The 16,983-nt window shown below is 47.0% G+C and overlaps 2 protein-coding genes across 4 annotated transcripts in view, besides 5 other annotated features; one reads left to right on the top strand and one right to left on the bottom strand.

Annotated features, from left to right (window-relative positions):
• Positions 1 to 3,844, bottom strand: part of PSMD9 (proteasome 26S subunit, non-ATPase 9) — a 29,508-nt gene extending 25,664 nt beyond the window's left edge. For all 3 annotated transcript variants that reach the window (NR_048555.3, NM_002813.7, NM_001261400.3), the window contains exon 1: positions 3,640 to 3,844. Coding sequence is in view for 2 of the 3 variants with exons in the window: in NM_002813.7 (NP_002804.2) it covers positions 3,640 to 3,777 (138 nt within the window). In the remaining variant the exon portion in view is untranslated. The remainder of the gene's footprint in view (positions 1 to 3,639) is intronic.
• Positions 2,960 to 3,573: an enhancer, noted in NCBI's record as "OCT4-NANOG-H3K27ac hESC enhancer chr12:122326967-122327580 (GRCh37/hg19 assembly coordinates)". NCBI's record gives its function as "activates a minimal SCP1, AML or CMV promoter by ChIP-STARR-seq in naive and primed H9 embryonic stem cells {active_cell/tissue: H9 hESC(naive and primed)}" and the evidence as "EXISTENCE:reporter gene assay evidence [ECO:0000049][PMID:30033119]".
• Positions 3,541 to 3,940: an enhancer, noted in NCBI's record as "active region_7191". NCBI's record gives its function as "activates an Ori minimal core promoter by ATAC-STARR-seq in GM12878 lymphoblastoid cells {active_cell/tissue: GM12878}" and the evidence as "EXISTENCE:reporter gene assay evidence [ECO:0000049][PMID:35858748]".
• Positions 3,541 to 4,187: a biological region, named in NCBI's record as "OCT4-NANOG-H3K27ac hESC enhancer GRCh37_chr12:122326353-122326966".
• Positions 3,574 to 4,187: an enhancer, noted in NCBI's record as "OCT4-NANOG-H3K27ac hESC enhancer chr12:122326353-122326966 (GRCh37/hg19 assembly coordinates)". NCBI's record gives its function as "activates a minimal SCP1, AML or CMV promoter by ChIP-STARR-seq in naive H9 embryonic stem cells {active_cell/tissue: H9 hESC(naive)}" and the evidence as "EXISTENCE:reporter gene assay evidence [ECO:0000049][PMID:30033119]".
• The window catches only part of HPD (4-hydroxyphenylpyruvate dioxygenase), a 49,085-nt gene continuing 36,124 nt past the window's right edge, over positions 4,023 to 16,983 (top strand). The window contains exon 1 of the mRNA NM_001171993.2: positions 4,023 to 4,209. The gene's annotated coding sequence lies outside the window, so the exon portion shown is untranslated. The remainder of the gene's footprint in view (positions 4,210 to 16,983) is intronic.
• Positions 15,877 to 16,171: a silencer, noted in NCBI's record as "tiled region #2229; K562 Repressive non-DNase unmatched - State 23:Low". NCBI's record gives its function as "represses a minimal TATA promoter and a strong SV40 promoter by Sharpr-MPRA in K562 cells {active_cell/tissue: K562}" and the evidence as "EXISTENCE:reporter gene assay evidence [ECO:0000049][PMID:27701403]".

The raw sequence follows: 16,983 nt of genomic DNA, 5'->3' as shown, positions 1-16,983 counted from the left end.
CGCCTCCTGGGTTCAGGCCCTTCTCCTGCCTCAGCCTCCCGAGTAGCTGGGACTACAGGCGTCTGCCACCACACCCGGCTAATTTTTTTGTATTTTTAGTAGAGACGGGGTTTCACCGTGTTAACCAGGATGGTCTCGATCTCCTGACCTCGTGATCTGCCAGCCTCGGCCTCCCAAAGTGCTGGGATTACAGGCATGAGCCACCATGCCCGGCCTTTAATTTTGAATTTTTTGTAAAGATAGGCTCTTACTGTGTTGCCCAGGCTAGTCTCAAACCCCTGGCCTCAAGTGATCCTCCTGCCTCAGACTCCCAAAGTCCTGGGATTACAGGCATGAGCCACCACGCCTGGCCATTGACCATTTGTATTGACCATATTTTCTTTGGAGAAATGTTTATTCAGATCCTTTCCCTGTCTTCTAATTGGCTGTCTTTTTATTATTGAGTTGTAAGAGCTCTTATTATAGTCTAGATACTATCCTCTTATCAGAGAAATGATATGCAAATATTTTCTCCCATTCTGGAGCTTATCTTTTCATTTTACTATGCCCTTTGAAACACAGTTTTAAAGTTGAAGTCCAACTTATCATTTTTTCTTTTGTAGCTTGTGTTTTTGGTGCCATATCTAAAAAGGCTTTGCCTAATCCAAGGTCATGAAGATTTACTCCTATGCTTTATTATACGAGATTTATAGTTTTAGCTGTCCACTTCTTTTTTTTTTTTTTTTTTTTTTTGAGATGGAATCTCTGTCACCCAGGCTGGAGTGTCGTGGTGCAGTCTTGGTTCACTGCAACCTCCGCCTCCCAGGTTCAAGTGATTCTCTTGCATCAGCCTCCCGGGTAGCTGGGATTATAGATGTGTACCACCACACCTGGCTAATTTTTGTATTTTTCGTTGAGACGGGGTTTCACCATGTTGGCCAGGCTGGTCTCGGACTCCTGACCTCAAGCGATCCACACACCTCGGCCTTCCAAAGTGCTGGGATTACAGACGTGAGCCACCATGCCCAGTCTTTTTTTTTTTTTTCTTTTTTCTTGAGACGGAGTCTCGCTCTGTCACCCAGGCTGAAGTGCAGTGGCGCAATCTTGGCTCACTGCAAGCTCCACATCCCGGGTTCAGGCCATTCTCCTGCCTCAGCCTCCAGAGTAGCTGGGACTACAGGCGCTGGCCACCACGTCCAGCTAATTTTTTGTATTTTTAGTAGAGACGGGGTTTCACTGTGTTAGCCAGGATGGTCTCGATCTCCTGACCTCGTGATCCGCCCGCCTCGGCCTCCCAAAGTGCTGGGATTAGAGGCATGAGCCACCGCACCCGGCCTTTTTTTTTTTTTTTTTTTTAAAGAGACAGCATCTCACTCTGTCACCCACAAGAGAGTGCAGTGGTGCAATTATAGCTCCCTGCAGCCTCAACATTCAGGGTTCAAGCAATCCTCCTGCCTCAGCCTCCCAAGTAGCTAGGACTACAGGCATGCACCACCACGCCCAACTAATTTTTAAAAAAATTTTTTGTAGGCCTGGCGCGGTGGCTCAAGCCTGTAATCCCAGCACTTTGGGAGGCCGAGGCGGGCGGATCACGAGGTCAGGAGATCGAGACCATCCTGGCCTCAGGTGATCCACCCACCTTGGCCTCCCAAAGTGCTGGGATTACAGGCGTGAGCCACCAGGCCCGGCCCAAACCCACTTTTTAAAAACAAATATAGAGCACGGTTTCAGGCTGAAAGCTTTCAGCAAGCAACAGCAGCTAGCCAGAAGCAACCAACATGCCGTATCAACATGCAAAGCATCTGACCTTATATTTAAGAGAAGAGATTATCATTTTCCATATGCAGCGGAGTTTTGAAATTTCCTTTTAAAATACATTTATGGGCAAGGCACTGTGGCTCATGCCTGTAACCCCAACACTTTGGGAGGCAGAGGCAGGAGGACTGCTTGAGCCCAGGAGTTTCAGACCAGTCTGAGCAAGCAACATAGTGAGACCCCATAGCTACAAAAAATACAAAAATTAGCTGGGCGTGGTGGCACGTACCTGCAGTCTCAGCTACTTGGGAGGCTGAGGTGGGAGGATTGCTTGACACCAGGAGATTGAGGCTGCAGTGAACCAAGATGGTGCCACTGAACTCCAGCCTGGGCAACAGAGCGAGACCCTGTCTCAATAATAATAATAACAATAATAATACATTTATATAAGATTAAAAGTAGATCTATTTAAATAAAAATATCAAAGGAATAACACAAGTGGTATATGCATATAGTATACTGCATGTGGTAGAAAGTAAACTAAAGTTTGAGAAATTGCTGGTAATTTGCTTGAAAGCACAGGTTCTGAATGTAACAGACCTGAAGTCTGAATCCCACTTTGAGCATATAGTCAGCACCCAGTAAAATGGTTCTCTGGCCCTCCGTATGAAACTTCATCTTATGGCCGGACGCGGTGGCTCACGCCTGTAATCCCAGCACTTGGGGAGGCCAAGGTGGGCGGATCACCTGAGGTCAGGAATCCAACACCGGCCTGACCAACATGGTGAAACCCTGCTTTTACTTAAAATAAAAAATTAGCCTGGCGTACTGGCGCTCGCCTGTAATCCCTACTACTCGGGAGGCTGAGGCAGGAGAATCACTTGAACCCAGGAGGCAGAGGCTGCAGTGAGCCGAGATTGAGCCACTGCACTCCAGCCTGGGTGACAAAGCAAGACTCCGTCTCAGACAAAAAAAAAAGAAACTTCATCTTACATCACCTAAAATGCATTCCATCCCACCCTACTTGGGCATAATTAATTGCATCTTCCTCTGCAAACTGATCTGTGATTTTACACTAGATGGCATAAGAAAACCTGCATCAGCTTTTGAGCCAGACCCACCACTGCCACTTCCGAACTACATGACCTTAGATAGGCGTTTGCCCCACTCTGGGCCTCAGTTTCCTCCTTATGCAATAAGGATGATGAGCCTTATTTGTAACTCAAAGTTCGGTCCTTAGACCACTAGCATCAGCATTGCTGGGAGTTTGCTACAAATGCAGAATCTGCTCCCTTGCCTCAAACAAAATCTGCATTTTAATAAGATCCCCAGGTAATTCATATACACACTGAAGTTTAAGAATTCACGATACAATCAGCAAATGCCGGGTGCAGTAGCTCACGCCTGTAATCCCAGCACTTTGAAAGGCCGAGGTGGAAGGATCGCTTGAGGCCATGAGTTCGATACCAACCTGGGCAACACAGTGAGACTCTGTCTTTACAAAAAGTACAAAATTAAGATAAGGCAGTCAGCGAGGCACATGACAGCTGTTTAATCACCAAGTAACACCTGTTTCCCCCTCCCTAAAATGGAAAGAGTAACAGCATCCACCTCAAAGGGTTGTTGCAAAGATTAAATTAACTCAACAATGCACAGCACTTAAACCAGCGCCTAGCACACAGCAGGGCTCCACAAACTCTTGCTGGATATCAATATGGCTAACTCTTCAGTTGCTAAAGTTCTTTGCCTGCCTTCTTGTGCCGACAGAGGCCGCACTTGCGGCGCCTTGGGCCTCCCAGGGAGATCCGTTGCGGAGCGCCCAAACTGAGGCCGCCCTGGCATCCCAGTACCCCAGGGACTCCGGGCCGGGTTAGGCGACTTGGGGCGCCCCGAACCCACACTCACGCTTTCCAGCACGTCATAGTTGGCCTTGATCTGCGCTTCTATCTCCTCCTTGCGCCGCATCAGCTCCTGGACGTCGCTGACAGTCACGACGCCGGCCTGCGAGGAGCCTCCGCTCTGCCTCGCTTCCTCGTCGGACATCGTGAACCCCGGGCCGCGACTCCAGAGACCCGGCTCCCGGGCTAGGGACGACGCCCCAGTCGACCGTAACTACGGCTCCGCCCATGCGCCAAAACACCACAGCCGTCCGCGAACGCGAGAACAGTCAAGGGGCGGGGCTTGGGATGGGGCTTAGGGCGGAGCTGGGTCACCGGAAGCCGCGCCCTGCCGGAACACGTGCGCCTGTGGTGACCCGGCAGGAGTAGCGTCGGAAGCAATGGATCCCCACGCAATTGCACACCAACGCTAGGGGATGATCTCGCCCCAGCTGACTCATTTTCTCATTCGTGCAGCAGACATTTATTGAGCGCCTACTGTATGGATGGATACTGTACGCCAGAGAACCGCTGCGTGGCGCTCCAATTCAGTTCTTCACATCCACACAGCCCTGGAGGATTTACAAAATACATTAAGGTTCCTTATCCCTCACTTTACAGATCCGATATGCCTGAGTACACACCCCGTATCTTGCCACTTAACGGCAATCTGTGTGACCCTAGGTCACTACTTGGCTTCTCTGGGCCTCAGTTTCCTCATCTGTAAAATGGGGCAGTAATTGATAGCAATCTATCTCATAGAGCTGTCCTTCTGCTAACAAATATTCATGGAATGATTCCTATGAGCCATATACTGTTGAAGGTGCTGGATGTTCCTGTTAAGGCCTCTAAAAATCGTAGTGATAATAATAACGGTAACAGTGTTTATTTATTGATACTTATAATGTGCCAGACGCTGTTCTAAATGCCTTACATATATTAATTCAACAACCTCATGAAGCTAGATTATTACATCCCAATTTGACAGCTGAGAAAACCGTCTCAATAACCAATTTACCCAACTAGCAAAATGTGAGGCCAAAATTCCAACCCAGCTTACCTAAACAATCAACTTTGATATCTGACCATGTGCCTCTAATATTTTGTCTTGAAAAGGGCTCAGCGGTCATCTGTGTAGTATTCAAACATGTTTGCCCTGAATCTAATCATTGGAAAACAGACATATCCAAAAGAAGGGACATACTTCAAAACAACTGGCCTGAAAACTTCAAAAAAAGTCAATGTTGTGAAATACACATGGGGAATAAGGGGTGGGGGACAGAGAAAGGAGGCGGATATGCAATTGCCTAGATTTAAGAACACTAAAGATGTGCATCAACTAAATGCAATGGGCCAGGTGTGGTGGCTCATGCCTATAATCCCAGCACTTTGGGAGGCTGTGGCAAGCAGATCATTTGAGGTCAGGAGTTTGAGACTAGCCTCGCCAACATGGTGAAACCCTGTCTCTACCAAAAATATAAAATATTAGCCGGGTGTGGTGGCACACACCTGTAATCCCAGGTACTCAGGAGGCTGAGGTCTCGAACCCCTGGCCTCAAGTGATCCAGCCCAGCTCGGCCTTTCAAAGTGCTGGGATTACAGGAGTGAGCTACCGCACCCCTCAAAAATAAACTAACATTTCTAACATTATCGAGAGAGAGAGAGAGAGAAATACAGGTGCAGTGGCTCATACCTGTAGTCCCATTATGCTGGGAGATCAAGGCAGGAGGATCCCTTAGGTCCAGGAGTTTGAGACTAGCCTGGGCAACATAGCAAGACCTCCATCTCTACAAAAAAAAAAAAATAATAATTAATTAGCAGAGGACCAGGTGTGGTGATTCACACCTGTAATCCCAGCACTTTGGGAGGCTGAGGTGGGTGGATCACTTGAGGTCAGGAGTTCAAGACCAGCCTGGCCAACATGGTGAAACACCGTCTCTACTAAAAATACAAAAGTTACCAAGGCACAGTGCCACACACTTGTAATCCCAGCTACCTGGGAGGCTGACGCAGGAGAATCGCTTGAACCGGGGAGGCAGAGGTTGCAATGAGCTGAGATCATGTCACTGCACTCCAGCCTGAGTGACCGAGTGAGACTCTGTCTCAAATAAATAAATAAATAATAAAGTTAAAAAGGGAGGAAGAGAGAAATAATGACTAAATGCAATACATGATCCTTACTTGAATTATTTAATGAGAAACAGCAGCTTTACAAGACTTATTGGGCCAACTGGTGAAATCTAAATATGAACTTTATATTAAATTATAGTATATCAGTGTTAAATTTCCTCAGTCAGATAATGGTGTTGCAATTATATGAGAGAATCACTTTTATCTTTATTGGAACGAGATAAATGCTCAATTATTTAGATGTGTAGTGTCATGATTTCTGCTACTAACTTGCAAGTGGTCCGAAGAAAGTGATACAAGGGGAGAAAGAGGCAAAATGTAACAATTAGCAAATCCACGTGAAGAGTATAAGCATGTTCAAGAAAACTGTTTTGTAAGCTGCTTATGGCTATAATCCTAGCATTTTGGGAGGCCAGGGCAGGTGGCTCACTGCCTGAGCGGCAGAGCAAGACTCCGTCTCAAAAAAAAAAAAAAAAAAAAAACTAGGCCAGGCGCGGTGGCTCACGCCTGTAATCCCAGCACTTTGGGAGGCCAAGCCAGGTGGATCATGAGGTTAGGAGATCGAGACCATCCTGGCTAACACGGTGAAACTCCATCTCTACTAAAAATACAAAAATTTAGCCGGGCATGGTGGCACGTGCCTGTAGTCCCAGCTACTCAGGAGGCTGAGGCAGGAGAATGGCATGAACCTGGGAGACAGAGCTTGCAGTGAGCAGAGATCGTGCCACTGCACTCCAGCCCGGGCGAGAGAGTGAGACCCCATCTCAAAAAAAAAAAAAAAAACTAAATGCAATATGTGGCCAGGTGCGGTGGCTTACGCCTGTTATCTCAGCATTTTGGGAGACCGAGGCGGCTGGATCACCTGAGGTCAGGAGTTCAAGACCAGCCTGGCCAACATGCTGAAACCTTGTCCCTACTAAAAATACAAAAATTATCCGGGCGTGGTGGCTCTGTTGCCCAGGCTGGAGTGCAGTGGCGAGATCTCGGCTCACTGCAACGTCCACCTCCCTGGTTCAAGCAATTCCCCTGCCTCCCGAGTAGCTGGGATTACAGGCGTATGCCACCATGCTCGGCTAATTTTTTTGTATTTTTAGTAGAGACAAGGTTTCACCATGTTGGCCAGACTGGTCTAGAACTCCTGACCTCAGGCAATCCACCCGCCTTAGCCTCCCAATGTGCTGGGATTACAGGCGTGAGCCACCGCACCTGGCCAAATTTCCTGATTTTTAAAAAAATTGTAATATCCTCCCACCCTTGATATCTGAAAATTTCCTGATTTTGATACTTTCACTGTGGTTTTGTAAGACAGTGCCCTTAGAAAAAGTACCCTGTAGTATTTAGGGTTAAGAGAGGCAATTTACTTTCAAATGGTTCAGAAAAGAATACAGATATAGGCCGGGCGTGGTGGCTCACACCTGTAATCCCAGCACTTTGGGACACCGAGGTGGGCGGATCACAAGGTCAAGAGATGGAGACCATCCTGGCCAACATGGTGAAACTCTGTCTCCACCAAAAATACAAAAATTAGCTGGACGTGGTGACTCATGCCTGTAGTCACAGCTACTCGGGAGATTGAGTCAGGAGGATCACTTGAATCCGGGAGGCAGAGGTTACAATGAGCCGAGATGGTGCTACTGCACTACAGCCTGGCGACAGAGCAAGACTTCATCTAAAAAAAAAAAAAATACAGATATATATGTAAGGCCGGGCATGGTGGCTCACGCCTGTAATCTCAGCACTTTGGGAGGCTGAGGGGGGTGGATCACTTGAGGTCAGGAGTTTGAGATTAGCCTGACCAACATGGTGAAACCCCGTCTCTACTAAAAATACAAAAATCAGCTGGGCGTGGTGGCAGGCACCTGTAATCCCAGCTACTCGGGAGACTGAGGCAGGAGAGAATCGCTTGAACCTGGGAGGTGGAGGTTGTAGTGAGCCGAGATCGTGCCACTGCACTCCAGCCTGGACCATATAGTGAGACTCCGTCTCAAGAAAAAGAAAGAGATATATATTTGTAGACAAGAGAGAGATAAAGTAAATACGGCAAAATGTTAATAATTGGTGACTCTGTAAATTATTTGTAAATGTAAATTATTTACATTTACAAAATGTAAATAATTGGTGAAACATATAAATGTTCTTTATAATATTTTTGGAACTTTTCTGTGAGTTTAAAACCACTTCAAGATAAAATTTTAAAACAAACTTTAAACAGAAAGAAGAAAAAAAGAGAAAAGGTAGAAAAATAAACTAACATTTCTAACATTGTCAAAAGAGAGAGAGAGAGAGATACAGGTGCAGTGGCTCATGTCTGTAGTCCTATATCTCTGGGAGATCAAGGCAGGAGGATCCCTTGAGTCCAGGAGTTTAAGACCAGCCTGGGCAATATAGCAAGACTTACGTCTCTACAAAAAAAAAAATTAATTAGCGGAGGACCAGGCATGATGGTTCACGCCCGTAATCCCGGCATTTTGGGTGGCCGAAGTGGGTGGATCACATAAGGTCAGGGGTTTGAGACCAGCCTGGCCAACATAGTAAAACCCCATCTCTAGTAAAAATACAAAAATCAGCCGGGCACAGCGGCACACACCTGTAATCCCAGCTACTTGGGAGGCTGAGGCCGGGGAATTGCTTGAGGCAGAGGTTGCAGTGAGCGGCGATCATGCCACTGCACTCCAGCCTGGGCGACAGAGCGAAACTCCGTCTCAAAAAAAAAAAAAAAAAGAGAGGAAAAGAGAAACGATGACTAAATGCAATACATGATCCTTACTTGAATTATTAATGAGAAACAGCGGCTTTAAAAGACTTACTGGGCCAATTGATGAAATCTAAATATGAACTTTATATTAAATTATAGTATATCAGTGTTAAGTTTCCTCAGTCAGATAATGATGTTGCAATTATGTGAAAGAAACTCTTTTTATGGTAAGGAGATAAATGCTCAAATATTTAGATGTGTAGCGTCATGGTTTCAGCTACTAACTTGCAAGTGGTTCAAAGAAAATGATACAAGGGGAGAAAGAGGCAAAATGTAACAATTAGCAAATCCACATGAAGAGTATATGCATGTTCAAGGAAACTTTTGTAGGCAGCTCATGGCTATAATCCTAGCACTTTGGGAGGCAGAAGTGGGAGGATCCCCTGATCCTAGGAATTTGAGACCAGCCTGAGCAACGTGGCAAGACCCAGTTTCTATCAAAAAAAAAAAAAAAAGAAAGAAGGAAAAGGAAAAGTTGGTTGTGTGGGGGAACTATCTTGCAGTTCTTCTGAGGTTTGAAATTTTTCCAAATAAAAAGGGTGAGGAGAAGATTCTTACCCATGCGGTCTGAAAAGAGAGCTGTTGTTAGGTTACTACATTATGAGCTTGTCAATATTGCTGTCATTATAATAAACCTCTATCCTGTGACTGCCTTCATAGCTCCCAAATCCACCCATCTCCTCCACCTCTACTCCTACCCCGCCACCTCTTCCTCCTGATTGGGCAGTCTTTGAACTGTCTCAGGTTGCGCACTTTAACCCAGTCTCCAAAGCAGCCAGAACAACCTTCCCAAGAGTGACATTGGCACGCTACTGCTTAATGGCTTCAGTGCCCTTCTCTTGGCCTTTAAGACTCCTGATCTCTGCTTGCCTTTAGACCACCTCCCATCCCTGTACCCCACCACACACACACACACACACACACACACACACACACACACACACACACACACACACAACTTATGCTCCAGCCATGCTGAACTTCTAACAGTTTCTGGCACGTTTTTTGCTCAGTCTCTCTTAGCACTGGGTCTTAGCACCTGCTCTTCCCACCCTGGAACACCATCTCAGGCCAGGCTGACTTGAACCTCTCCTTCAAGATCCAGCTCAAGGCTGGGTGAGGTGGCTCACACCTGTAATCCCAGCACTTTGGGAGGCCGAGGCGGGTGGCTCACTTGAGGTCGGTAGTTCAAGACCAGCCTGGCCAACATGGTGAAACCCCATCTCTACTAAAATAGATTAGTTGGGTTTGGTGGCAGGTGCCTGTAATCCCAGCTACTCAGGAGGCTGAGGCAGGAGAAGCTGGGAGGCAGAGGTTGCAGTGAGCTGAGATTACACCACTGTACTCCAGCCTGGGCAACAGAGCAAGACTCCCTCTCAAAAACAAAAAGAAAAAGATCCCTCTCAAAAACAAAAAGAAAAAGAAATACTACCTCCCTGGAAATCATTATGTGTCCCACCCCACAGCTGGGCTGTTTTCTGCACTTTTCACTTGGTATTGTAAATGCATGTTTACCTGTCTGTCCCATGCACTGGAGATTCTTAGAGAATGTGGACTGAGGCTTGTTTATCTTCAAATGTTGGACTGTTTGAGGATTGCAAGGGAACAGTCTGAGAGAGCTGTCTTTCCCCTTTCCAGTTGTTCTGTTTCATCTTCCCTGCAGTGGCCACAGACAGCCCAGCAAAACCTTTGTTTTAGAAAGCTGCCAAGATCTAGGAGAACTTCAGTTGCCTCTCTCAAGCTTTCACATCTTGCTCATCTTCATTTCAGAACGAGAGGTAGGCCAAGAGACAAACACATGGGAAATAGAGCCAGGGAACTAGAGATCCCTGGCGAGACCTGGTTGGTCAGAATTCATACTGCCTGACTTGAGGACCACCACACTTTCCATGTTTCACCTCACTCTGGCCCAGGAATCCTACAAACGACAAATCCTCCCCTCGTTTCCTGAATCTATAAAACAAGGGTCTGGACTCTGACAGCCATAAAGGTGGCAGGCTCGCTCATGAGTTGGCCCCCTAAAAGTTTTTAAGAATTGTAAATTAGTTGCTTAATCAGGCCAGCACAGTGGCTCATGCCTGTAATCCCAGCACTTTGAGAGGCCTAGGCGGGAGGATCACCTGAGGTCAGGAGTTCAAGACCAGCCTGGCGAACATGGTGAAACCCCATCTCTAATGAAAATACGAAAATTAGGTTGGGCGCGGTGGCTCACGCCTGTAATCCCAATAGTTTGGGAGGCTGAGGTGGGCGGATCATGAGGTCAGGAGATCAAGACCATCCTGGCCAACATGGTGAAACCCTGTCTCTATTAAAAATACAAAAAATTAGCTGAGCATGGTGGCACATGCCTATAGTCCCAGCTAGTTGGGAGGCTGAGGCAGGAGAATCGCTTGAACCCGGGAGGCGGAGTTTGCAACGAGCCAAGATCGCACCACTGCACTCCAGACTGGCGACAGAGCAAGACTCCATCTCAAAACAAAACAAACAAACAAACAAAAAAACAAAGTCATGGGAGCAGATAAGGATAATGAAGCCACCTGGGGCTGGTGAGCATGGGGTCTCTTACCCCACCCCTTAAGCCTAAAGGGGCAAGAGAAGGGAGGGTTTGGAAACCTAGAGAGAGTTGTAGTCACCCAACAGGAGTGTGGCCTTCAGTACAGGGACATAGCTGCTGCTAAAACAGCTGCTAAAACAACGTCTGGCAGGGAGGAAGCCAAGGAAGAGATACCCCCACTTGTCTCTCCTCTCCTTTCCTGCCAGGGTCTCAGGTTGGCTGAAGGTGATAAGGCTTGGGGCACAGAGAAGGGCAGGGAGGGAAGAGATTTGGAGGGGCTAAAGGAATATCCACCACAGTTGCCAATAATTAAGCATTTGGAAAAGTAAGATGCAGAGACCCACATAGTAAATCATCCTATTTTTATTCAGTAAAGTCAACTCCCCCATAGAATGGAAAAAGGGAAGCAGTTATACCTGTGAGGGTGTTAATATTTAGTACCTGGGCAGAGCGTGGAGCAGAGCAGAAAGTAATTTTTAAAAATAAGATACTGGGTTGTGCACGTTGGCTCACGCCTGTAATCCCAACACTGGGAGGCCAAGGTGGGCAGATCACCTGAGGTCAGGAGTTCGAGACCAGCCTGGCCAACATGGCGAAATCCTACTACTAAAAATACAAAAAATTAGCCTGGCGTGGTGGGACACACTTGTAGTCCCAGCTACTTGGGAGGCTGATGTGGGGGGATTGCTTGAGCCTGGGAGGCAGTGGTTGCAGTGAGCTGAGGTCACGCCACTGCACACCAGCCTGGGTGACAGATTGAGACCCTTGAAAATAATAACAATAATAAGATACTGCCTGGCATGGTGGCTCATGTCTGTAATCCTAGCATGTTGGAAGGCCAATGCAGGAGAATCACTTGAGGCCAGAAGTTTGAGACTAGCCTGGGCAACATGACAAGACTCTGTCTCTACAAAACATAAAATAGTAATAAGATACTTATTAATATAAATTCAGAGTAATTTAATAAAGCAATTGTTAAAGAGCATTAAACTCTACATTCAAATGAGCTAGATCACCATCCATGCTGTTTCTAATGGGAAGATCTTGGTAATGCTTGATTCTAGGAGCTGGTTAAAGAAATCATGGTACAGGCCGGGCATGGTGGCTCACGCCTATAATCCCAGCACTTTGGGAGGCCAAGGCGGGTGGATCACGAGGTCAGGAGTTCAAGACCAGCGTGGCCAAGATGGTGAAACCCCATCTCTATTAAAAATTCAAAAATTATCTGGGTGTGATGGTGGGCGCATGTAATCCCAGGGAAGCGGAGGCAGGAGAATCTCTTAAACCTGGGAGGCAGAGGTTGCAATGAGCCGAGATCATGCCACTGTACCCGAGTCTGGGCGACAGAGCAAGACACCATCTGAAAAAAAAAGAAAGAAAGAAAAAAGAAATCATGGTACAGCCTTTCTTTTTTTTTTTTTTTCTTTTTTTCATTTTGATACAGGGTCTCGCTCTGTCACTCAGGCTTGAGTGTAGTGGTGCAATCATGGCTCACTGCAGCCTCAACCTCCCAGGCTCAAGCAATCCCCCCACCTCAGCCTCCCCAATAGCTGGGACCATATACATACACCACCACACCCAGCTAATTTTTAAATTTTTGTAGAGATCTGTTCTGGCCATTGTCCAAGCTGGTCTCGAATTCCTGGGCTCAAGTGATCCACCCACCTCTGCCTCCCAAAGTGCTGGGATTACAGGCATGAGCCACTGCACCTGGCCCCACCCAGTATAGCTTTTCAATGAAACACACACATATACACACACCAGGTGAACATGTGTATTTATTGCCATGACAAAAGTGTTTACAAAGTATATGTAAAAAAATTAGCATAAGTATCAAATCATATGTATCATTATCTGTATATCTTGTCATATCTATATATGTTTATACATTTTTAGAAAGTAGTCTGTGTGGGCCAGGCATGGTGGTGCTTGCCTGTAGTCCCAGCTACTCAGGCCGAGATGGGAGGATCCCTTGAGCCCAGGAGTTTAAGGCTGCACTGAGCTGATCACACCACTGCACTCCAGCTTGGGCAACAGAGAAAGACCCCATCAAATAAGAGAAAAGAAAAGAAAAGAAAAAAGAGAAGAGAAGAGAAGAGAACAGAAGAGAAAAGGAAAGAAAAGAAAAGAGTAGTCTGGGTGGGCATTCCCAGATCATCCAAGGTGGTTGTCTGTAGATGAAGGATTATCAGTAGGCTTGTTTTCTTTACTTTTTTTTCCTCTTAATTATGTGTATTTTCATCCCCCCACCCCGCCCCAACCAAGTTGTATTAGTTATTTTTTAATTAATTATTTATTTATTTATTTAGACAGATTTTCCCTCTTGTTGCCCAGACTGGAGTGCAATCTCGGCTCATTGCAACCTCCGCCTCCTGGGTTCAAGCAATTCTCTGGCCTCAGCCTCCTGAGTAGCTGGGATTACAGGTGCCCACCACCACGCCTGGCTAATTTTTGTATTTTTAGTAGCGACAGAGCTTCGCCAAGGTGGCCAGGCTGGTCTCAAACTCCTGACCTCAGGCGATACACCCGCCTCAGCCTCCCAAAGTGCTGGGATTACAGTCAGAAGCCACCTCACCCGGCCTATAAGTTATGTATTAAAGAACAAAATAAGTCAGTCATGGTGGCTCACATCTGTAATCTCCACACTTTGGGAGGCCAAGGCGGGAGGATGGTTTGAGCCCAGGAGTTTGAGACCAGCCGAGACAACATAGTGAGACCCCCATCTTTGCCAAAGGAAAAAAAAATAGCCTGGTGTGGTAGCACATGCCTGTAGTCCCAGCTGCTGGGGAGGCTGAGGTGGGAGGATCACTTGAGCCCAGGATTTTGAGGCTGCAGTGAGTTATGATGGTGTCACTACACTCCAACCTGGGCAACAGAGTGAGAACCTGTCTCAAAAAAAAAAAAAAAGAACGAAAAACCAAAACACATATCTGTAACCTGGGCACAGTGGTTCATGCCTGTAATCCCAACACTTTGGGAGGCTGAGGTGGGTGGATCACTTGAGGTCAGGAGTTTGAGACCAGCCTGGCCAACATGGCAAAACCTCATCTCTACTAAAAATACAAAAATTAGCCGGGCGTGGTGGCGTACGCCTGTAATCCCAGCTACTTGGGAGGCTGAGGCAGGAGAATTGCTTGAACCCAGGAGGTAGAGGTTGCAGTGAGCCAAGATCATACCACTATACCCCAGCCTGGGCGACAGAGTGAGACTATCTCAATAAAAAAACAAAACAAACAAAAAACCACATAGCTGAGCTGGTTAAACAGGTGTGTTCTGTTTGTGACAATTCAGAGCTATACACTTATGCACTTCTCCATGTATACTCATCTTCAATAAAAATGCTATTTCCCAATATCTAAAAACGCACAAAATCATAAAGAAAAATTTAAAACCAATTCAATTTATTGAGATGAGAGTCACAAAACAGTGAAAACATTCAGCAGCATTTAGTAATTCACAATGTTGTGCAACCACCACCTCTATCTGGTTCCAGAATACTTCTTTCCATCACCCCAAAAGGACACCCATTCTCCTTAAGCAGTCACTTTCCCTTCCTCCCTCCCCGCAGAGCCCGGCAGCCACCAGTCTGCACTGTGGGTCTGTGGATTTACCTATTCTGGATATTTCATACAAATAGAATTCAAAACAAGACAATCTTCAAATCAAAGGATTTCACATAAAAATTCACATTGCTAACTTCTTTTGAACAAAATCCGGCCACACCAGGCCCATGTACCCACAGGCAACAACTGTCTGGAGCTAAGTTACTGCCCTCGTTGGCAGAGTGTGGGGGTGGGATGCAGCTTTCCCCAATCCCACCCAGCTCTTCTGTTTATTATTATTATTATTTTGAGACAGAGTCTCAATCCGTCACCCAGGCTGGAGCGCAGTGGCACGATCTCAGCTTACTGCAACCTCCACCTCCCAAGTTCAAGCTATTCTGGTGCCTCAGCCTCCTGAGTAGCTGGGATTACAGGCATGTGCCACCACACTCGGCTCATTTTTGTATTTTTAGTAGAGATGGGGGTCTTACCATGTTGGCCAGGCTGGTCTCGAACTCCTGGCCTCAAGTGATCCACCTGCCTCTGCCTCCCAAAGTGCTGGGACTACAGGCGTGAACCACCGCGCCCAACCTCACCCAGCTCTTCTCTGTTGCTCTCCTGGCACATTTAGGTTTCAGGTCTGTGGCCAGCAGCCTCTCACACCCCTCTCATTTGTAAAAATCTGGAGGGGCTCTAGAGGCAGTAAGGCACACCAGAAAGGATGAAAAACTAGGATTTGGGGTAAGGAGAGATGAATCCCAACTCTACCTACTAGTATGAGCCAGTTAGCTTCTCTGAGTCTCAGTTTCTTCAACTGTACAATGGGTAGAATAATACCTCCCTCACAGGGTGGTTGTGTTGCATGCAAAGCACTGGACATGTAGTCACTCACTTCTATCCCTGTAGGTAACAGAGACTCATAACAGTTCTTTTTTTTTTTTTTTTTTGGAGATGGAGTCTTGCTGTGTCACCCAGGCTAGAGTACAGTGACGCAATCTTGGCTCACTGCAACCTCCGCCTCCTGGGTTCAAGCAATTCTCCTGCCTCAGCCTCCCTTGTAGCTGGGCTTACAGGCGTGCACCACCATGCCCGGCTAATTTTTGTATTTTTAGTACAGACGGGGTTTCACCATGTTGGCCAGGCTGGTCTCGAACTCCTGACCTCAAGTGATCCTCCCACTTCAGCCCACTTCAGCCTCCCAAAGATCTGGGATTACAGGCATGAGCCACCGCGCCCTGCCACAGTTCTTCCTAAGACTCGGAAATGGGGATGGGGGTTCAGAGAGGTTAAGCCATGTATTGAAGGCAATTCAGCAAATCAGAGGCCAAAGAGAACTCCCCATTGCCCTTGCCAACGATGAAAGTCAGTGCTCCAAACTGAAGGGTGGGAGACGTATGCAAGCATGGGGACTTTGGATGATGAGGACACAGGTTCAGCCTGAAAGGGATCGATGGCTGGGCTTGAGTAACCTTACCCTCCGCTTATGCAAGTGATGGAGCTACTGACGTGATGGTAATTTAGCCTGAGAGGAAGGAAAAGCCCTTTGATGTACCCCGGGCCTTGATCCCGTATCAGCTGTTCGGCCTCCCTGGTGGCTGTTTTCCCTATCATGGGGGCCTCCCACCTCTAAACCTCAGGCAACGAAAGCAGGGAAGTAGCTCCTATTCACTCAGGAGAGCCCACGGTCAATTCTCCAGGAAGTTTGTGGGCCAGTTTTTATTATTATTATTTTTTAGACACAGTCTCGCTGTGGCCCAGCCTCAAGTGCAGTGGCACAATCTTGGCTCACTGCAGCTTCCACTTCCTGGGTTCCAGCGATTCTCCTGCCTCAGCCTCTCAGGTAGCTGGGACTACAGGCGCCCGCCACCACGCCCAGCTAATTTTTGTATATTTAGTAGAGATGGGGTTTCGCCATTTTGACCAAGCCTGTCTGAAACTCCTGACCTCAGGTGATCCTCCCACCTCGGCCTTCCCAGGTGCTGGATTACAGGCGTGAGCCACCACGCCTGGCCTCAACTTCCTAATCATTTTTACTAAGTTTTAGTATCACCAATGCTGTCTCTTCTCTTCTCTACTCTGTTCTTTTTGAGATGGGATTTTGCTTTGTTGCCCAGGCTGGTCTTGAACTCCAGGACTGAAATGATCCTCCAGACTCAGCCTCCCAAAATGGTGGGAATATAGATGTGAGCCAATGTACCCAGCCTCATCTGTGCTTTTGGGGTTATTTACTTCTGTTTGTATCCGTTTGGTATGTACTGTACTTAGCTTAACCCCAAGTTCAATGACTTCATGTTGATACTCGAAATTGACCATACCGGCCAGGTGCAGTGGCTCATGCCTGTAATCCCAACACTTTGGGACGCCGAAGTGGGCAGTGTACTTGAGCCCAAG

The sequence above is a fragment of the Homo sapiens genome, chromosome 12 (genome assembly GCF_000001405.40).
Source record: "Homo sapiens chromosome 12, GRCh38.p14 Primary Assembly".
Classification (NCBI taxonomy): Eukaryota; Metazoa; Chordata; class Mammalia; order Primates; family Hominidae; genus Homo; species Homo sapiens.
This window is presented reverse-complemented; position numbering and strand designations above follow the sequence as displayed.